Source organism: Homo sapiens, chromosome 7, assembly GCF_000001405.40.
Source record: "Homo sapiens chromosome 7, GRCh38.p14 Primary Assembly".
NCBI lineage: Eukaryota > Metazoa > Chordata > Mammalia > Primates > Hominidae > Homo > Homo sapiens.
Window position 1 is genome coordinate 39,852,683 of NC_000007.14, and position 22,953 is coordinate 39,875,635.

The 22,953-nt window shown below is 36.6% G+C and overlaps 1 long non-coding RNA gene and 1 pseudogene across 1 annotated transcript in view, besides 1 other annotated feature; one reads left to right on the forward strand and one right to left on the reverse strand.

The window, feature by feature from the left end:
- The window catches only part of LOC101928688 (uncharacterized), a 68,479-nt gene that overhangs the window by 21,923 nt on the left and 23,603 nt on the right, over window positions 1–22,953 (forward strand). The window contains exons 5-7 of the long non-coding RNA XR_001745176.2: window positions 7,182–7,391; window positions 12,876–13,048; window positions 13,621–13,749. This is a non-coding gene — a long non-coding RNA (uncharacterized LOC101928688). The remainder of the gene's footprint in view (window positions 1–7,181; window positions 7,392–12,875; window positions 13,049–13,620; window positions 13,750–22,953) is intronic.
- On the reverse strand, window positions 15–2,578 carry RWDD4P2 (RWD domain containing 4 pseudogene 2; annotated as a pseudogene).
- Window positions 1,983–2,518: an enhancer, noted in NCBI's record as "H3K27ac-H3K4me1 hESC enhancer chr7:39894264-39894799 (GRCh37/hg19 assembly coordinates)". NCBI's record gives its function as "activates a minimal SCP1, AML or CMV promoter by ChIP-STARR-seq in primed H9 embryonic stem cells {active_cell/tissue: H9 hESC(primed)}" and the evidence as "EXISTENCE:reporter gene assay evidence [ECO:0000049][PMID:30033119]".

Consider the following 22,953-nt stretch of genomic DNA (forward strand, 5'->3'; position numbering starts at 1 on the left):
TTTTGGTTTTTTTTTGTGTATAATTCAGACTTTATTGCTTATTAATTATGTCACTCCACAAAATTTTAAGTAAACAGACATTGAGAAAATATACTGGGAGTGTTAAACAGATGACGGCAATATTGATGAGGCTGTTCAAGTGTTTTACATAAGGTAATAAGAGGTACCACCGTCACCAGAACCCCTACAAATTTGTACATTTCATATAAAAAGAGTAAAAATAGTTCATTGGCATGTAACTAGCATCATTCTCTGTAATCTATGAGCCATAATAAGCCTGAACAATTTCAGTCTCTTCAGAGCAAAACAAAGTATTTTATTCCACTAGCAGATGTTTCTCCAAAAACAAAAAACAAACCAATACAACCACAAATACTACCCACCCACAACCCTGAAACATAAGTTGCCATATTCCAGTGGTCCTGAATTTTAACATGTTTTGCTCTACATTAATTCAAGAAATAAAATGAGAAACAGCTTTGAAAATGAGATTAACTCCTTTGCTGTAATTATACTTACTCTATAATTCAAACTATTTAGCTGAAGTCAGTTAACGAGTAAAAACCGCGGATACAGCTCAAACTGCTCTTAACTTCTTTAAATGTTTACTGTTCTATCAAAACTCAGACCCAAGCTGCACAGGTGTAACTTGAGGCACTAACAATCTTCCTACCAGACGTAATAGTTTTATGTGTTCTTAAAGCTGGGCGCATATACAAAATCACTGTACATCACACATAAACATCAGAAACTTTTCTTGGCACAACTAGACCAATAGTTTCCTCTATTATTATTATTTTTAAATCAAGCATGTGTAACAGTTCAGCATTTAAAAGACTCCCATGTATATGATTAAAAAGATGCTCAGGTTGAGAAATACATTTGAATACTTGAAAAGACACTCCAAAAAGAAACAAGACTTGAAATGTGGTTTTATGTTGAACCATTTAGGAGACCTCAGTTATCCAACAACTAAAAGCACACAACAGCAGATAAATAGGATTTTATTAAAATCAATGTCTCCAACAATACAAAAACTAAATATTAAGGCATCTTTTACTCCCATCCTGGTATATGCAAGAGAAATGTTTTAAGAAAGGGCCAGCATTTCTTACTAAAATGCTTTCTAGTGTATTTGGCAGATTTGTTTTTATATTCTCCTATTCCACATACCACTCAAAGCACTCATGATCAAACATCTTGACCCAAATCAAGAGAAAAGTATAAATAGATATTAATTTATTAAAAGGAAGCAGTTCATCTTTCAAAAATTAAAAGAAACTACAAAAAGTATCATGTATAAAGTTCAAATACCAGCATTTAAATTTCTCTGAAGTAATTTATGGTTCAGTAATTAAGCAAAAGAAGAGATGAAGACTTAAGATAAGAAGGCTATTAATATGGATTGCACTATGGAGTGACTGTTCACTGAGTACTCCGCTCCACTGGGATGATAGTTTGAAAAGGGCTTCATACTCCTTTAAGAAAATAGCACATCCACCAGGATAAGATCATTTAAATTAACACTGATTCTTATTCCCCATGCCTGTCCATTTATAAAGCTCAAGGGGCTTCATAAAGTATACTAAACAGTAACATTTTCACCTTTTATTAAGGCAAGTTTGTGAAAATAATTTAATACAACAAGATCTCTTCATGAACTTTCAACTTACAACCTTTTTAATGTAAGAAACATACAAAAAATTGTGTTTTATAAAAAGTTGCCTCAATACCAGAAAATAGTAATGAAAGATTTTGAACCCAGTTTTACTCTTTAAAGAATGCTCTTTCCTTGTCTCAAATTCCAAGTGCTACTCATCATCCTTAGAGCCAGTTTTGCTTAAATGCTTCACAACATCAACCCAGTTCCAGCCTCGAGGAAGTTCTCCTTTGTGATCTGTTTTGTCTGCCAGCTTACGCTTCTGGGCTTTTGAAAGTTGTTCTTTCTTGTCTTTTTTCTTACTTGATGGGGCTGTATTAGGAGTTTCAATTGAGATGATATTGCTTATCGATGTTGCGGAATTGATGGGATTGTGATTCTCCATGAACTGCTCTTTATTGTCTTTGGCATATTCAAACAATGTATAGGTCATAGCGGTTCCAAGATTAGCTTCTGCTGCTTCCTGTAGCTTGGCTAATATACTCTGCTTTACAGCTGATGATATGGTGTTGTTAAAAAAAGCGTTCATAGATAGAATTGGAGGTGTTTGGGGATATGTTTCTGTCCAGGAAATCTCTATTAAGAAGGCTTTGGGATCACCATTTTCACCCTATGTTGAAAAGAAACTGGACTTAATTCCCGGAAACTTTCATCTCCTCCATAAATAGAGCGTAATGCTTCTAGTTCCATCTCCTGGTCCTCGTTGGCACTCATCGCGCCGGTCGCGGGGCGCCTCCTGAGCGGACGGCGTTCGCAACAACGAAGAGAAAGCGAAGGCAGCGGCCCAGAGGCCGGGCGTCCCCCTTTCGCGCCTCGGCTGTGGGGGCGGCACAGTCTTGGCACTGGCAGACGCCAACTGCGCGCGCCCCGAGCCTCGGCAGCGCCCAGCCGCCGGCAGTGGGCTGTGGGCTACGAGCCTAAAATTCCTTTTTGTTTCACCTGTCTGTCCTTTCCTGCCCTTCCATACCCCAGGCAACTGCTGAACTTTTTACTGTAGTCATAGTTTTGCCTTTTCTAGAATGTCATATAGTTGGAATCATACAGTACGTACCCTTCAGATTGGCAGCTTTCACTTGGTAGTATGCATTTATGGTTCCTTCATGTCTTCTTATGACTTGATAGCTCATTTCTTTTTAACATTGAATACTAGTTTATTATATGACTGTACCAGAGGTTGTTCATTCACCTGTTGCAGCATATCTTAGTTGCCTCAGAAATTGGTTAAATTTTTATGTCAACATTCATGATGGAGTTTTCTTTTTTGTAATATCATTGTTTGGTTCAGGGTAATGCTAGCATGATAGAATTAGTTGTGTTGTGTTTCTCCTCTTTATTTTGCAGGGGAGAAGTTGTGTAAAATTATGTTCCATCTTCCTAAAATGTTTGGTAACATTCACCAGCAGAGCTAGCTGGGCTGGGAGTTTTCTTTGTGGGAAGATTTTACCTACAACTTTATTTTCTTTGGTAGATATAGAGTGATTGGGTTATCTATTTCTTGATTGAGCTTTGGTTATTTTTGTGTTTCAAAGGCTGTGTTCATTTAAGTTGTCATGTTTAGTTACATAAAGCTCACACTATTATCTTGCTATTCTTTTAGTATCTGTGAATCTAGAAAAATGTCACATTACTTATTTCTGAAATTAGTAATTTGTATCTTCTCTTTTTTATGATTAGCCTGGCTAGATGGAGGTTTATCACTTTCATTCTCTTCCTCAAAGTGTTCGGCTTTATTGATTTTCCTATTGCTTTTCTGTTTTATTGGTTTCATCTTTGATGTCATGGTTTGTTTGGCCTGCTGTCACAAAATACTATAGACTGTGTAGCTTATAAACAACAGAAACTAACTTCTCACACCTGGAGGCTGAAAAGTCCAAGATCAAGGTGCTGCAAGATTTGGTGTCTAGTGAGGGACCAATTCCCGGTTCCTAGGTTCCATGTTTTCCCCTGTGTGCTTCATATGGCAGAATGGGTGAATGAGCTCTCTGGTGTCTCTTATACAAGGGCACTCATCCCATTCATGAGGGCTTGGATTCCATGAGCTAATTGCCCCCACAAAGCCTCAGTTTCTAGTAATATCACCTCTGTGATCAAGTTTCAGCATATGAGTTTTGAGAGGACAAATGTTCAGACCATAGCAGACGTCTATTATATCATTTCCTCTGGTTCCTTTGGGTTTAATTTGCTCTTTTCTCCTTAGTTTCTTCTTTTTTACTTTCTTAAGATAGAAGTCAAGGTCATTGATTTGAGAGTCTTCCAGTATAGACATTCAGTACTGAAACTTTTTATTTAACTACTGTTGTAGCTACATTCCATAAATTCTGACATGTTGTAGTTTTATTTTATTTCAGTTCAAAATAGTTTCTAATATTTCTTTGCATCACCTCTTTGGCCTAGCGTTATTTAGATATGTGTTACTTTGTTTCCAAATTTTTTAGTATTTTGATGAGATATTTTGTTACTGATTTCTAATTTGATTGCTCTGTGGTCAGGGACCATAGTTTGTATGACTTAAATCCTTTTGACTTAATTCTTTTATGAAGATTTACTGTATGGCCTAGAATATGATCTGTTTTGCTAAGTGTTCCATGGGTCCTTGAGAAGCATAGTGCTCTTCAAGTCTACTCTAGTCTTACTGATTTTCTGCCTCCTTGTTCTGTCATATTGAGTAAGCGATATTGAAATCTCAGACTATACCTGTGAATTTGTCAATTTCTTCTATCAGTTTTTGCCTCATGTATTTTGAAGCTGTTATGTTACTAGGTACATAAACATTTAGGATTATGTGCTCTTGATTAATTGAACCATTTATCATTATGAAATAATTTTGTTGATAGCTAGTAATATTTTTTGCTCTGAAATCTACTTTGGTATTAATATAACCATTTCTGCTAGGCTTTATTTGTTAACTGTTAGCATGGTATATATTTTTCCATCCTTTTAACTAATTTGCATCTTTACATTTAAAGTTTTTTTTTTTTTTTGAGATGGAGTCTCGCTCTGTCACCCAGGCTTGAGTGCAGTGGCGGGATCTTGGCTCATTGGAAGCTCTGCCTCCTGGGTTCACGCCATTCTCCTGCCTCAGCCTCCCGAGTAGCTGGGACTACAGGCACCTGCCACCACGCCCAGCTAATTTTTTGTATTTTCAGTAGAGACGGGGTTTCACCATGTTAGTCAGGATGATCTCAATCTCCTGACCTCGTGATCCGTCCGCCTCGGCCTCCCAAAGTGCTGGGATTACAGGCGTGAGCCACTGCACCTGGCCTACATTTAAAGTATTTCTTAGAGGTAGCAGGGAGTAGGATCTTGCTTTTTTATACAGTTTGACAATCTGCCTTTTAATTTAGGTTATTAGGCTGGTTTCATTTATAATGTGATTACTGATATAGTTAAGTTTATCTGTTATCATACTGTTTGATTTCCATTAGTCCCAGCTGTTCTTTGTTTTCTTTTCTTCTTTTTCTGCTTTCTTTTCAATTAGCCATTTTTTTTTTTTTTTGAGATGCAGCTTCACTCTGCCACCCAGGCTGCAGTGCAACGGCATGATCTCTGTTCACTGCGACCTCGGCCTCCTGGGTTCAAGTGATTCTCCTGCCTCAGCCTCCCAAGTAGATGTATTTACAGACGCCTGTCACCACACCTGGCTAATTTTTTGTATTTTTAGTAGAGATGGGTTTTCACCACATTGGCCAGGCTGGTCTCGAACGCCTGACCTCAGGTGATCTGCCCCCACTTGGCCTCCCAAAGTGCTGGGATTACAGGCGTGAGCCACTGCACCTGGCCAGTCATGTAATTTTATGATTGTTTTATCTCTGTCTTTTGGCTTATTAGCTATAAGTCTGTTTTTGCCATCTTTGTGATTTCATTACAATTTGTACTATATGATTTTATCTTATCACCTTCAGGCAGTATTATACCATATCATATATGGCATAAGGAAATTAGAATAGTATAATTTCATTTCCTCTTTCCCAGCCAGATCCTTCCTGGATTTGTGGGATTATAGTTTTCATTAAGTTTAGAAAATTTCTGGCCATCTGCTCTCTATATTTTGTCTGTCTCTCTCCCTTTCTCTTTGGGGACCTGTATATTACTGCTTAAAGTTTTCTCGTAGTTCTCTGATGTCTCAAATTTATGAATCTTCTCTTTTGTAATGTTTAGTCTGTATTTATTTCCATCCAGTATAGTTTTCATTTCTGACATTTTAATTTGAATCTCTACACATACAGTTTGCTTTCAAAAAATATCTCCCATGTCTCTGCTTGAGATTTATTTTGGGACACAGTTGAGTTACTTATACACAGCTTGATATTTCTGGTCTTGCTTTATGGTTTGGTCTAGTTTTCCACTTCTGAGGCAAGGTGTTTCTAATAACTCTATTCATTGCCCTGTGAATCCCAAGTTTTTCCAGTATTGCTCATAGGAATGGACACTCTTCCTTACACATTGTGAGCAACAGGCACTATTTTTCACTGTTTCTAATTTTTTAAAGATTTTTTTCCCCTGGTCTCAGGTAGTTTCCTAGCACACATGTACCGTTCATCACTCTGCTATTGGTTTTTTGTGCTTCATCATTCCAACTCAGAGAATCTGGTGGACTCTACCTCAGTTTTTTTTCTCCCTGTGTCATGGCATGGAAACTTTGTCAAGTCAGGGAGCTGGGTTGTTTGTAAGGCTTACTTCATTTGTTTTGTCTTACAGGGATCATTGTCTTTGTTACCTGAAGTCACTTTCTTTTTTTCTGGAGAGTCTTGCTCTGTTGCCCAGGCTGGAGTGCAGTGGCACGATCTCAGCTCACTACAACCTTCACCTCCTGAGTTGAAGTGGTCCTTCTGCCTCAGCCTCCCGATCAGCTGGGACTATGGGTTTGCGCCACTACACCCAGCTAATTTTTGTATTTTTAGTAGATATGGGGTTTCACCATGTTGGCCAGGGTAGTCTCGAACTCCTGACCTCAGGTGATCCGCCTGCCTCGGCCTTCCAAAGTGTACCTGAACTCCACTGTCTTGAAAATCATCGTATAATGTATTTTGTCTTTTTTGGTTTTGATTGTTTCAGACAAGAAGGTAAATCAGTACCTGTTTCTCCATCATGGCCAGAAGCAGATTACAGGAGAGCTTCAGCACTTACCACAGACTGGCTAGAATGCTCTTCTACCCCCTTTACTTAACTGCTTCCTTCTCATCCTTTATTTCTCAGTGTAGCCATCTTTTCATCAAGGAAATCTTCCCTGAGCCCAGTATACATCAGATTGTATGTACCATAGAACTGTTTTCTTCCAGTATCTATCTGAATTTGTAATTTTCACTTTTATTGTCTTTGTTCTTCACTACACTGAAAGCTAAGCAAGAGCAGAGGTACTGTCTGTTGTATCTGCAAAGCTCAGCAGACCACATGTTAGGAACTTAGTCCATATTTGTTAGGTGTATGGTTGGGTGAATGTTAAAATGCACAGTCCTTTATATGCAAAAATTACTCATATTTTATTTCCACCTTGTTTTCTCCCTCATGTGGATTCTGTTAGCCTATTGAAAATGCAAGATGCAGTTCTTTCATGGGAACACTTATTAGAACTTAAGAATAATCATTGTGAACAACTTACAGTAAATATTAAACAAATGGAAAATATGGTTGGTGTACTACAAAAGGAGCTATCTGAAGCAAAAGAAACACAATTACAGTTAGAGCATGAAAAAGGTCAATGGGAACAAGAACAAGAACGCTACAGTTTGAGGTATGACGTTTGAGTTTTAAATAAATATTTTAACTGTCTATACTAAAGATATGTAAGAATTTTTGCAATTGTTGACTCTCTGGGGCTTAATGGGAAGAAAATGTCTTGTACTTGTGGAATATGAAATTCTTGGAAATAAGGTAACAAATTTTTAACTGAATTCTTCTAATAATTGTATATTTTAAATCGTGATTTTAATGGCTGTATGGAAGTCTACCATATGGGAACCTCAATATTTAACAAATTGAATTTGGGGTTTGAAATTATTTTGTATTAGAATTAATGCTGTGAGGAACATCTTTTATTCTTACTATTTTTAGACACAGGGTTTTGCTCTGTCGCTGAGGCTGGAGTGCAGTAGTGTGATCATAGCTCACTGCAACTTCGAACTTTTGTGCTCAAGGGATCCTGCCTCAACCTCCTAAGTAGCTGGCACTACAGGCACATGCCCCCATGCCCTACTAACTTTTTAAGTTTTTCATTGAGACAAGGTCTCACTATCTTGTCCAGGATGATCTCTAAGTCATGGCTTCAAACAATCCTCCTGCTTCGGCCTCCCAAAACATTGGGATTACAGGCGTGAGCCATGATACACAGCCCAGAACGTCTTTTATCTAAGTCACTTTCTACATTTCTAATTATTTACTTTGAATCAAGTCTTCAATACAGACTATTTTGGTTAAAATACAAGAACTTTTTTATAAAAGGCCTTGGATTAATATTTCTAAATTGTCCTCAAGGATGTTTGTGTTATTTTACAGTTCAACCAACAGAGCATGAAATGGCCACTTGTCTCAACCCAGAATACTTTTTAAAAACGCTATACAGTTTTATTCTTCTTTTTACTCTCTCTCTAATTTTTTTTATTTCAATACCTTTAGGAGTACAAGTGGTTTTTGGTTACATGGATGAATTGTGTAGTGGTGAAGTCTGGGATTTTAGTGTACCCATCACCCAAATAGTATACATTGTAGCGCAATAGGTAGTTTTTGTCTCTCAATGCCCTTACGCTTTTCTCCCTTCTGAGCCTCCAATGTCATTATACCACAGTGTCAGCTTTCACATATGGGTAGCATAGCTCCCACTTGTAAGTGAGAACATGTGGTATTTGTTGTTCCATTCCTGAGTTACTTCACTTAGAATAATGGCCTCCAGCTCCATCAAGTTGCTGCAAAAGACATTATTTCATTCTTTTTTGTGGCTGAGTAATATTCTGTGATATATATATATATTCCACTCATCAGCTAATGCACACAGGTTGCTTCCACATCTTTGCGTATTGTGAATTGTCCTGCAATAAACATATGCATGCAGGTGTTTTTTTGACATAATGATTTCTTTTCCTTTGAGTAGATACCCAGAAGTGGGAATGCTGAATTGAATAGTAGGATCTACTTTTAGTTCTTTGAGAAATCTCCATACTGTTTTCCATAGAGGTTGTACTAATTTGCATTCTCACCACCACTGTATAAGTGTTCTCTTTTCACCACATCCACACCAACATCTATTGCTTCTGATTTTTAATAATGGCCATTCTGGCTGCAGTGAGGTGATATATCATTGTTGTTTTATTTTGCATTTCCCTGATGATTAGTGATATTGGCCATATTTTTATATGCTTGTTGACCATTTGTACATCTTCTTTTGAGAAATGTCTATTCATGTCATTTGCCCACTTTTTAATGGAATTATTTGTATTTTCCTGCTTATTTGAGTTTCTTGTAGATTCTAGATATTAGTCCTTTATCTAATTCATGATTTGCAAATATTTCCCCCCATTCTATAGGTTGTTAGTTTACTCAGATGATTATTTCTTTTGCTGTGCAGAAACTTTTCAGTTTAATTAAAAGTTTAGTTATTAATTAGTTAAGTTATTTGTCACATTTGCTTTTAGGTTCTTCATCGTAAATCTTTTGCTTAGGCCAATGTTTTCAGGCATCAGATTTAGGCCTTTAGTCCATCTTGAATTAATTTTTATTTTATATATGGTGAGAGATAGGGATCTAGTTTCATTCTTCTGCATGTGGCTATCCTATTTTCCCAGCACCATTTATTGAATAAGGTGTCCTTTCTCCAGTTCGTGTTTTTATATACTTTGTCAAAGAATATTTGGTTGTAAATGGCTTTATCTGTGGGTTGTCTATACTGTTCCATTGATGTATGTATCTACTCTATACTAGTACCATGCTGTTTTTGTTACTGTGGCCTTATAGTATAATTTGCAGTCAGGTAATTTGGTGCCTCCAGACTTTTTGTGGTTGTTGTTGTTGTTGTTGTTGTTTTGCTTAGTATGTCTTTTGCTCTTCAGGCTCTTTTGTGGTTTTACATGAATTTCAGCATTTTTTTTTTCTAATTCTGTAAAGAGTGACATCGGTATTATGATGGGAAATGCATTGAATCTGTAGGCTCCTTTGGGCATTAGGGTCATTTTCACAATATCAATTCTTGCAGTCCATGATCATAGGATGTATTTCCCTTCGTGTCATCTGTGATTTCCTTCAGCAGTGTTTTCTAGTTATCCTTATATAGATCATTCACCTCCTTCATTAAGTATATTTCTAGGTATTTTACATTTTTGTAGCCATTGTAAAGGGATTGGGTTCTTGATTTGACTCTCAGCTTGGTCATAGTTGGTGTATATGGGTGCTACTGATTTGGATTCATTGATTTTGTAACCTCAGACTTCACTGCATTCATTTATCAAATCTAGGAGTGTTTTATAGGCATTTTTAGGGCTTTCTAGGTATAAGATCGTGTCATTGGCAGACATAGTTTAACTTTCTCCTTTCCAATTTGGAAGTCCTTTATTTCTCTTGCCCAATTGCTCTGCCTAGGATTTCCAAGTTTTATTTTTTATTTTATTTTATTATTATTATTATTTTTGAGATGGAGCCTCACTGTGTCACCCAGGCTGGAGTGCAGTGGCGTGATCGTGGCTCACTGCAACCTCCACCTTCTGGGTTCAAGCGATTCTCCTGCCTCAGCCTCCCTAGCAGCTGGGGACACAGCTGTGTGCCACCACGCCTGGCTAATTTTTTGTATTTTTTTTTAGTAGAGATGGGGTTTCACCGTGTTAGCCAGGATGGTCTCGGTCTCCTGACCTGGCGATCTACCCTCCTCAGCCTCCCAGAGTGCTGGGATTACAGGCGTGAGCCACCGTGCCCAGCCGGGACTTCCCAGTTTTATTAATATACATGAAATAAAAACTAAAATGGAAAGTGAATAATGATTAGTTTATTTCACATCTCTCTCTCCTATACAGATACAATTAATTCAAAGTTCTATGTTGAAAACACATGTTGGCCGGGCACGGTGGCTCACGCCTGTAATCCCAGCACTTTGGGAGGCCAAGGTGGGCGGATCACGAGGTCAGGAGATTGAGACCATCCTGGCTAACACGGTGAAACCCTGTCTCTACTAAAAATATAAAAAATTAGCCGGGCATGGTGGCAGGCGCCTGTGGTCCCAGCTACTCGGGAGGCTGAGGCAGGAGAATGGCGTGAACCCGGGAGGCGGAGCTTGCAGCGAGCTGAGATCGCGCCACTGCACTCCAGCCTGGGCGACAGAGGGAGACTCAGTCTCAAAAAAAAAAAAAACTAAAAAAAAAACCACATGTTATTCTTTATTGTTTAAATGTTAGATCCTATCTTGTTCCAAAAGGAATTTTAAAATTGTTTATAAAATACACAAGAATCAAGAAGATAAGTGGAAAGTGTTACCAAAAAATAAACATAAAAAGTATTGGTTAACACAAGGGTCCCCAACCCCCAGGCCACGGACCAGTACCAGTCCATGGCCTATTAGGAACCAGACCACACAGCAGGAGGTGAGCGGCAAGTGAGCAAGCAAAGCTTCATCTGTATTTACAGCCGCCCCCCATCACTTACATTACCACCTGATCTCTGCCTCCTTTTAGGTCAGCAGCACCATTAGATTCTCATAGGAGTGTGAACCAAATCCTACTGTAAGCTGCACACATTGGAGATCTAGGTTGTGCTCTCCTTATGAGAATCTAATGCCTGATGATATGTCCCTGTCTCCCATCACCCCCAGAGGGAGCTGTCTAGTTGAAGGAAAACAAGCTCAGGACTTTCACTGATTCTACATCATGTGAGTTATATAATTAATTATTTCATTATATATTACAAAGTAATAATAATATAAATAAAGTGCACAATAAATGTGATGTGCTTGAATCATCCCTAAACCAGCCCCCTCTCCCCCAGGTTCATGGAAAAATTGTCTTCCACAAAATCAGTCCCTGGTGCCAAAAAGACCAGGGACAGCTGGATTAACAGATATTAGACCCCATTGCCTTGTATTGGATTATAGTAATCTGCAGATATATATTGTGTGACTGACATCCGATGGTGCCATCTTTTTTTTTTTTTTTTTTTTGAGACAGAGTCTCACTCAGTCACCCAGGCTTCCTGAGTGCAGCAGCCTGATCTCGGCTCACTGCAACCTCCACCTCCCAGGTTCAAGCAATTCACCTGTCTCAGCCTCCCAAGTAACTGTGACTACAGATGCCTGCCACCAGGCCTGGCAAATTTTTGTATTTTTAGTAATGATGGGGTTTCACCTTGTTGGTCAGGCTGGTCTCGAACTCCTGACCTTGGGTGATCTACCCACCTTGGCTTCCCAAAGTGCTGGGATTACAGGCTTGAGCCACTGTGCCCGGCCCGATGGAGCCATCTTGCACTGTAAATTATTTTAGGAATACCTGCAGTATTTCATGAAAATTAAAATTTATTTCTAGTGAATTTACAAAGTTGTTTATAAGTAGTATGTTCTTTTTAATTAGTTAATTTGAAATGATCTGTCCTAATTGAGTTCTTATGACTGTGTGAAAAAGAGGTAATTTTCTCTTTCTTTGTTTTTTTTTTTGAGAGGGAGTCTCGCTCTGTCTGTCGTCCAGGCTGGAGTGCATTGGTGCGATCTCAGCTCACTGCAAGCTCCGCCTCCCAGGTTCACGCCATTCTCCTGCCTCAGCCTGCCGAGTAGCTGGGATCACAGGCACACTCCACCACACCCAGCTAATTTTTTTTTGTATTTTTAGTAGAGATGAGGTTTCACTGTGTTAGCCAGGATGGTCCCAATCTCCTGACCCTGTGATCCGCCCACCTCGGCCTCCCAAAGTGCTGGGATTACAGGCGTGAGCCACGGCGCCCTGCCAAAAAGAAGTAATTTTCAACGTGTAACTATACTAAATAATTTCTAATATTCTTTTCCATAACATTTATCAGAATTGCTAGTAACAGAAACTCACCAATTAGCAGGATGTTTTTTCTTCACTACCTTTCAAGTATATTTATCCCTTGGAAGAGACTGAAGTGAGAAATTAAAAACATGAGAACTAGAAAGGAAAAATAGTCAAGAACATAGAAATTTTATTTGAATAATAAACACTGCGTAGGAAGAGCCAGATAACAAAATAAACTTTTTATTTTCTAACAAAACAAATTTTAATATGTTTTACTGTAGAATGACCTTAAAAGAAGAAGAAAAGAGAAGAAATGATGATATGTTGCCTAAAAAAGATAGTGAACAGTTAAAAAGAAAAGAAAAGGAATGCGGGAAAGAAGTTGAAACAACTCAAACAGACTCTGAAATCACTGGTCACAGAATTGAGGACATAAGGAAAGAATTTGGATCAGGTAAATTAATTTTTGGTGAAAACTTTATATTTCTAACTTTATATAATTACATCCTTTGTATTTTTTACATCCTTTGATGTAATGTATATAATTTAGTTTCAAAACATACCAAGACTGTTATTTAATCTTAAAAAGGAAGTATGACATTTATAGCTATTTATTGTAAACCTTGGCATCTCTGTCTGTGATGTTCAGTCTTAGATGCTCAAACTATCTCTTATGTTTTCTGAATGAAGGAATGGAGGATAAATTGAGTTTAATCACATAAATATTTGTGTATTTTTATGTTAAAATATAGGCTCTATAGCTTTGAGACTATAACAAAGCTAGTTAAATGTTTTGAAAGAAATTTTATTACACGATACTGTATTTTTCTGTAGGTAAGAACTGTTTTTCCTCTTTGAGAAATTTAGCTGTCATGTATGCAATTAAAGTTTGAGTAATTCCTGAGGGATAAAAGTCCTTGTGTTTTAATAGGCTACTTTTTTTTTTTAACAGTTTTACAAAAACGGTTCTGTTCTTTAGATTTTCTTTTTCAATGCTATTAGACCAAAAATGTAATGTATGTCTAGGTTGTGCAGAAGCGAAGCGATACCCACAAGCAACTTTCTGAAGAGCAGAATGCCAGAATATTACAAGATGAGATTCTGACCAGTAAGCAAAAGGAGGTTGAAGGGGCTCAAAAGAAAATGAATTCTGAGGTATTTTCTTTAGTCATTTTCAAATATGTTTTTGTATGTGTATATATTTGAAAAACCAACTCTGTGTACCTTGGAAAATATAAAGGATTTTTAAATTATATATATATATATATATATATATATATACACACACACACACACACACACACATCCTATGTGTTTGTGTATCTATATATAGAATATACACGTGTGTGTGTGTGTGTGTGTGTGTGTAGGATAAAGTCATATTCTTAATTCAGCTCCATTAGTCTGCAGCAGTCAAGTAGTGACATTCACAATGGCCTCAATCCAAAGAAGAAGCATTTGATATTTTTTATAAGAATTGATGATCTTTCCATAATCTCAAAATTTTTGGTACTAACAACAGACGTTCTAGTTTTCGGACATTGTTTTATCTTCTCAAAATATTAGTGGAGAAGTCAGTTTATTATTTTCATTGATAGATAAGGAGGAAATGTATAGCCAGTTTAGAGGCCATATTGTGGATGTCATTCTTCTTACTTTTGAAGAACTTAAAAGTTTTCTCCAAGTAGTATCTAATTTCAATGCAAAGGGCTTTGAAAACAATGATGTAGAATAATATACATTTAGTGATAATTTATTGGTAAGTGTTTTGTTTCTAGAAAAATAGTTCAGTGTATTTCCCCCTATTTCACACTTATTACTGTTTCAAACATTATAAAGAGGAAATAAAAGTTATTACAATAGCAAATCTCATGATTTTTTAAGAAGATCTCTATAAATTTTACCATTGGTATTTTTAAATAAGAGGCTTCTTTTGTATTTATATATTTACACCACAGAAGTAACTGCAATTTGATGGAGGAGGACTAGAAGTAGAATCAGAAGACCTAGGGAAAATCCTGCATCTTGCATATATTTCAATCTCTCCTCTTCAGAATTGAGACCTTAAATGAGTTCAGTAATGTATGTAAAAGTGCAATGCTTAGATGTAGAAGTGTAAAATGTAGAAATGTACAATGCTTAGATTTAACATTTATGAATAAGTGTAATCTTTATAACTTACAATAAAATTGTTAGAAAAGTAGAATATTTATAGAACATTATCAGGAAAAAGGAACTTAGAGAACTTTGAGGAATTTCTTCAGTCCAAATAAATGCAGAACTAAGAGTCTTACAATAGGGTGGTGTATAGGTTAGATATCAGATTTTAAAATTTTTAAATTTTAAAAATTTAGTCAAATGTATCAATCTCATATTTTATGCCGCTGGGTTTTTTGAAATTCAGAGAAAGGCTTTGTCAATTCTGAGAGTCTTAAAAATCCTCTAGTGGTTTATTTTTTACTTTTATTGATTCATTGTCTTCAAATAGATTTTTTTAACTTTTGGGAATTTACACTCTGAGGTTTGAAATTTTGATTTAACATTTTTTCCAGTTAAATATCCACTTACGGGAATCCTTTCATTGTACAAATATACAGGTTATTCTTTAATTTCAGAAGAAACCATGATATGTCATTCTATTGAGTGCTAAGTTTCCTTTGTTTACTTAGATTTCTCAAAGCCATAAGAAAGAAAAAGACCTGTTGCATAAAAATAGTATGTTGCAGGAAGAAATTGCCATGCTAAGACTGGAACTAGACACAATAAAACATCAGAACCAGCTGAAAGAAAAGAAATATTTGAAGGATGTTGAAAGTGTGAAATAAAAGAATGACAACCTTCAAAATATGATAAAACTGAATGAGGAAACATCAACAAAAATAGTATTTCAGTACAGTGGACAGCTTAGCATTTTGACAGCTGAGAATAAAACTCTCAGTTCTCAACTTGAGAATGTAAAACACAACATGGAAAGACTGGAAATGGAAATTCAGCCATATCGATGCAGGCTGGCTGCTGCCGTACATGATTGTGATCAAAGTCAGACAGCATAAGAAAACCTAGAGCTTGCTTTCCAGAGAACAGGACATGAATGGGTTCATTTACAGGAGAAAATGAATTCTGATATGTCTAACCTAAAAGATAACAGTTAGATTCTTTCTGAAAAACTCTCTAATGCTGACAGTAAAATTAACAGCCTAAAAATTAAGTTTCATCAGCAAGAGAAACACTCAGAGAAAAGACATCAGTTTTAGAATGTTTCCAAAGAGACCTAGGCCAAACACAGTGTCAAAAGAAAGAAATTGAACGAATGTATAAAAATGAACAAAGTAAAGTAAATAAATACGCGGAAGAAGCAGGAATCTATAGAGGACAGATGTGCTCAACTACAAAGTGAAAATAGGTTGCTTCGACAGCAACTGGATGATGCCCACAAGAAAGCTGACAATCAAGAAAAGACAATCAGTACTATCCAAGATCAAATCCATGCTGTTGTAAAAAAATCTAGCTGGGAGTGAAATGCACAGTCTTCTGCTAGAAGAGAAAAACAAGGACTTAATCAATGTATGTAATAATTTGAAAGAAAGAATATATCAATGTGAAAAAGAGAAAGAAAAAAAAGTAAGTACCAAGAAAGATATTTTTCAAACTGAAAGAAAAAGTAATATTTGGTTATGCTAAATGTTATATATAGTTGAATATAAAAGTATGTAGAATAGGCTGGGCGCGGTGGCTCATGCCTGTAATCCCAGCACTTTGGGAGGCCAAGGCGGGCGGATCACCTGAGGTCGGGAGTTCGAGACCAGCCTGACCAACATGGAGAAACCCCATCTCAACTAAAAATACAAAATCAGCTGGGCGTAGTGGCGGGCACCTGTAATCCCAGCTACTCAGGAGGCTGAGGCAGGAGAATCGCTTGAACCCGGGAGGCGGAGGTTGCATTGAGCCGAGATCGCGCCATTACACTCCAACTTGGGCAACAAAAGCTAAACTCCGTCTCAAAAAAATAAAAAAGTATGTACAAATATACTTAGAATAAAAGTGTATTTGCTGTGTTAGCCTAGAAACATACCAGCAAAAGAAAGAGCTGAAGTACACTTTACTTTGAGTAAAGAAATTATATCACCTTTGAAATTTTAAGAGGTTAAGTTACAAGTTGTTAGTAGATATAGACTAATATTTATGATGTAGACATACTGCTAAAATAATTTTAATATTTGTATGTGGCCACATTTTAAGACCATGATGAAGCAGATAAACAGAAATGCCTTATATCTGAAATAAATCTTTTGAAATTAAGATTCGATTAGGTGGGTTACTTTGACTGTTAATTCAAGATTTCCCAGGTGAACTGAAGTATACTGTTGTATCTCATAATACTTTTCCTTCAGGGGCTTTTTATGTATTTACGTTTGTGTAATTTTATTTTTATTTGTATCAATTTGACTTTAATCTGAGACTATTTCAATATCACAGTATTGTTATGACATCTCAATTATTTAAAAGCATTTACTTTTTATTAAATCATAATTTGGGACAGATGTGAATTTCCAGCAAAACCATATTTGATTAATCTTACCACTGGTATTTATACTTTGAATGTTCTTAAAAATAATTTGCCCATAATTTTTATTTCAAGGCTCAATGGCTATCATTTGGATATGACTTTGTTTCACACAAAGATAATTGTGGCTATCTGCGATTGCTTTGTTTGACATTAGGTTCCCATTTTCAATCTAGTGGGAGGTGGCAGGATTCACATACAGTGAGAAAGCAGTGAGTAGAGAAGAGATTTGTAGGAGCTGAGGTCAGGGAGGGAGGTGAAGGCCGGTGGTTACCCAGGGCCTGGAAGGCAATTGAAATTTTACTTGTATTCTGAGATAGAAATCTATTGGAAGGATCTGAGCAGGCAATTGAGGATGTCAGGAGTGGTGGGGTTTCTTTGAGCTTCTAATAAAAAAGAGGAAAAACATTTTACAATGTTGCATTTTCTACCACCAGTCCCACCCACATACGGATTTGTTTTTGTGACTTAAGTAGGAAGTTAAGCATTGCAAATGTATCGGGTGAGTGAATAGTAAACTGAATCTAAGCAGAATACTGACTTGGCAGGAAAATAATACCTTCTGTGTCCTTAACTGAATTCAGTAATAAGCATGTATACACATAGGAAAAGAACGTAAATTCATGTATGTGGTGCTATTTTTCAAAGTACATGTTAAGTCTTATTACCATGATTTACTGATAAGGTAACATGTAAAATCAGTAACAAAAATATCTGAACAGGTAGTTATGAGACAACTTCAAGAAGAACTGGCTGATACCCTAAAAATACAACCTATGTCAGAGCCTTACCTAGAGGCTACACCACATTGTCTTATTAATTTAGAAGAGACCCAAGATTCAAAGAAGGAATTAGGTAAAATTGGAAGTCAAGTACATATGAAACATAACATGTCAATGGTTAATCTATAGGTAGTGGAATAATATCTAATGTTTTAGGATACTAATTGCATTGGATAGTTTTTTATTTTTATTATAATTAATTTTATTATCTTTATCATGCAGTTATTTCTTAACCTCTGACTTTCATTCTGTCATGTTTTTCTCATAAGTATATACATTTTAAAAATAATATTTACCCTTATGAAAGTTGGGAATTATACCTCATTCCTCACAGCAGTTGAGAGAGTTTTTTCTGCAAACCATTATTTCTTAGCTAGTTCTCTACTGTCATGGTAAGGCAAGCCAGATTAAATCAGAGGATAATGTTTAATATAGTGTTCCAAAGAAGTGTCTTATTTCTTGTCTTTACTTTCATGAATGGGTATAGAATGTGTGTCTGTTTATTGCATGAATTTCAGGATAACTTGTATGGAAAGGCCATTAAACTCTTCTCCAAAATGCAAATGTTTTAGATTAATTTACAAAGTACTTGAAATGTTAGGCATTTCCTTCATTTTCATTTCATTTTAAGTATATTGTAAAAGCATGGAAATACTCAGATCGTGTAGAGTATATACATCCAAAGTAGAGAATTAAGAAATGTATCTAGATCCTGCCACTGGATTTTTTAAAGCAACTGTGTTGATATATAATTTGCATAACATACAGTTCACCCATTGAAAATGTACAAGTCTCTTAGTATATTCATGGAGTTGTGTAGTCATCAGCAACATCAATTTGAGAACATCTTCACGACCCTGAAAAGAAACCCTGCATCATTTAGCCATCATCCACCAGTTTGCCCTTCCTCAGCTCTAGGGAACCACCAGTCTACTTTGTTTCTATAGAGTTGCCCATTCTGGACATTTCGTATCAATTGAATCACAAAACGTTTGGTGGTCTTTCGTGATTGGCTTCTTTCACTTAGCATAACATTTTTAAGGCTCATCCGCATTGTAACATGTATCAGTACTCAACTTCCTCTAATTGCTGAGTAACATTCCACTCTGTGGATATACCAGTCATTTTATTTACCCATTCATCAGTTATGGACCTTTGGGTTGTTACCATGTTTTGGCTATTAATCATACTGCTATGAAGTTTTATGTACAAGTTTTTGTGTTTGCATATGTTTTCATTTCTCATGGGTGTATACTTAGAAGTGGAATTGCTGGTGTATACTTACAAGTGGAATTTGAGGAGCTGTCAGTCTGTTTTCCAAAGTGGCTGCACCATTTTACATTTCCGTCAGAATTGTATGGGGATTCTAATTTCTCTGTATCTTCCCAACATTTTTCACATTTTTGATTGAAGATTCCATCCTAGTGGTGTGAAGTGATACCTGATTTTATTTTTTTTTTTGAGATGGAGTCTTGCTCTGTCGCCCAGGCTGGAGTGCAGTGGCACAATCTCGGCTCATGCAACCTCCCTTGCACCGGGTTCAAGTCATTCTCCTGCCTCAGCCTCCCAGGTAGCTGGGATTACAGGCACCCACCACCATGCCCGACTAATTTTTTGTATCTTTATAGAGATGGGGTTTCACCGTGTTAGCCAGGGTGGTCTTGATCTCCTGGCCTCGTGATCCACCCGCCTTGGCCTCCCAAAGTGCTGGGATTGCAGGTGTGAGCCACCGCGCCCCGCAAAGTGATACCTCATTTTTGTTTTGATTTGCGTTTCCCTAATGAGTAATGATGTTAAGCATCTTTTTATGTGCTTATGAGCCACTTGTGTATCTTTGGGAAAATGTCTATTTAAATGCTATGCCCATTTAAAAATCACCTTCCCTTTTTTTTCTGAATTTTAAGTTTTTTGTAGATCTTAGGTGTAAGACCCTTAACAGATATGATTTTCAAATATTTTATTTCACTCAATGGCTTTTATTTTTACTTTCTTGATGATGTCTGTTCAAGTGCAGACATTTCAAATTTTAATAAAGAATTTTATAGTTTTAGCTCTTATATTTAGCAGTCCTATTTTGAGTTAATTTTAGATGTGGCATATGTTAGGAGTCCATCTTTATTCTTTTGCATGTGGATATCCAGTTGCCCCATTACCATTTGTTGAAAAGGCTATTCTTTTTAACAAATTAATAGTCTCATTTGTTGTTTTTTTACCCTTGTTGAAAATCAATTGACCATAAATATGTGGGTTTATTTTGGGATTCTCAATTCTAATATGTTGATCTATGTCTATCATCATGCCAGTACCGAATCTAATTTTAGGATAATTATTTTTCAGTCATGTTGCTTATTATTCCCAATTGTCCTAAGTAAGAATAGAAATTCAAGTACTAGGATGCCTTTAATTTCACTGTTTGCTTCCTGAAGGAACATGTGGCTAGCTTATATTAATACCTTGCTGACTCCTGTGACACAATGGGAAGTCAGGCTTACAAAGACAAGAGCGTATTCATTTCTTTTTCTCCATTCAAACCGTTTTTCTCTCACTCAGGCCCTACCTCTTCACTCCCATTTTCATCAAATCTTGGTTAGAGGATCTGCTGACTCAGTCTGTATTTACTGCATTATATTTACTAACTCATAATAAGTCATAGAATTGTGTAGATTTTTGCCATGTAGGAAGGAGAAGATTAAGTCTGGGCTGTTGCTTTCCTCTTTGGAAATTGAGCTAATTCATCATCTTACAGCTCACAAATAGATCCTCTGTTGACCTGGTGCCTGGTTCTTTGGATAACACTGGAGCTGATCCTTTTCTTGGCACAGATCCTACATTCTCAGAAATTACAGTTTTCTGTATTTAACTGCTTTTACTTAACAGAGGTGCCTAGCTATGCTTTATAGCTCAGTACATAATCAAATTAGTAGTTCAACCCATTCAAATAAAAATTTTCAGGAATGCAGCACCTAAAAATTAGGTGATGTCCAGGTATTTATCAGAGACAAATAGTCAAATTAGTTTTATGAATCTCAAAATTTCAGAGCCAATTTGTACGATATGGAGCAGCATTTTGGTACAATGTAAAGATGAGATGGTCTTACCTTCTCAGCTTGAAGGGAAATTGTATTTAATTTTTTAACATGTAAAGGACACTACATTTGTTTTGCTACAGAGAAGATTAAAACTGATTTCCTAGTATTCTCTTTATTTTCTCATTGAGGAAATGAAAATGAAGATCAAATACTAGATTGATTAATAATTACTCAGCTGCTTATCACTTTTAGAATTTCAGTTCACTGAAATCAGGTAAAATGTCTGATTTGTGTTATTATATCAAATACTTCTGTTTTTTGTCAACTTTCATACTTCAGATTATACATCCTTCCTTCCTCATCTTCCTTATCCCATAACTTGAGGGGCAAATGCTAAAGAGCCTCATTTGCTTAGTTATGAGAATTTGTAACTGAAGGGAACTTCTTCTAAACGTCCTCCTCAATAGTTCATACGTCTGTCTCCTGGTTGTCTGCTGCTTCTCATTAGCATTGTTTGTCATTAATAAATTAACCTCAACATTTAGTAGATCCTATTTTAAAGGAGACTAGTTACTACTGTGTAAGCTATTATATTTCTTACTGTTTTTTGTTTAAGTCTGTTTTCCTGTTTATTTTTCCCTAACAAGCTACCCAAAGGTGAGTGGCTTAACAGCAACATGTATTTAGTTCACCAATCTGTGGTTTGGAAAATCCTTGTCCAGGACAACCTTCTCTGCTCCCCTCAGCTTCACTTGCAGTCAATCAAATGTTGGGGGACTGGAATCATCTGAAGGTCTGGTCACTGATATGTCTGGTTGTTGACAGTGGCTGTTGATTGGAACTTTAGTTGGGGCAGGCAGCCCAAATACTTGCACTGGAACTCCTGTGTGTCTTTGTGACCTGAGCTTCCTCACAACATGGGGGCTCGGTTCTAAGGGCAAGCAGTCTGAGGTAGAGAGCCTCTTCTAACCTAATGTTGGAGGCCACACGGTATCACTTGTACCACATTCTATTCATTAGAAGCAAGTCACTAAGTGTGGCCCATAGTCTATTTATAGGATGAATTGTTTGTTTGTTTGTTTGTTTATTTTTGATTGATTGATAGTGTCTCACTCACTACATTGCCCATGCTGGCCTTGTACTCCTGGGCTCAAGGGGTCCTCCTGCCTCAGCCTCGTGAATAGCTGGGACTACAGGTGTATTACATCATACCCAATTTCCTTTTTATTTTTGTGGACATGTATAATTGTACATATTTATGGGATTCACAGTGATATTTTGATAAGTGTAGCCACTGTATAATGGTCAAATCAGGCTATTAGCAAAGCCATCACCTTAAACATTTACTATTTCTTTGTGCTTTGAACATTGAAAATCCTCTCCTCTACCTTTTTAAAAATACACTATAAATCATAATCATAGTGACCCTACAGTGCCACGGAACACTAGAGTTAATTCCTCCTATGTAGCTATAATTTTGTATCCATTAACCAACCTCTCCCCATCCTCCACTCCCCCTACCTTTCCCACCCTGTAATACCCACAGTTCTACTCTCTACTTCCATGACCTCAAATTTTTTACTTTAGTTCCCATAAGTGAGAACATGCAGTACTTATGGTTTTGTGCCTTATTTCACTTAACATAATGTCCTCCAGGCTCATTCATGTTGTTGCAAATGACATTAATTTATTTTTTGGCTAAACAGTATTCCATTGTGTATGTATGCCCTATTTTCTTTATTCATCAACCACAATCATCTGTTGATAAACATTAAGGTTAATTCCACATCTTAGTTATTGTGAATAGTGCTGCAATAAACATGGGGGTGCTGGTGTCCTTTGATACATTGATTTTCTTTCTTTTGGATAAATACTCAATAGTAGGATTGCTGGATCACACCACAGTTCTATTTTTAGTTTTTACAGAAGCCTCCACACTGTTTTTCATAACGGTTATAGTAATTTGCTATTTCCTACACCAGTG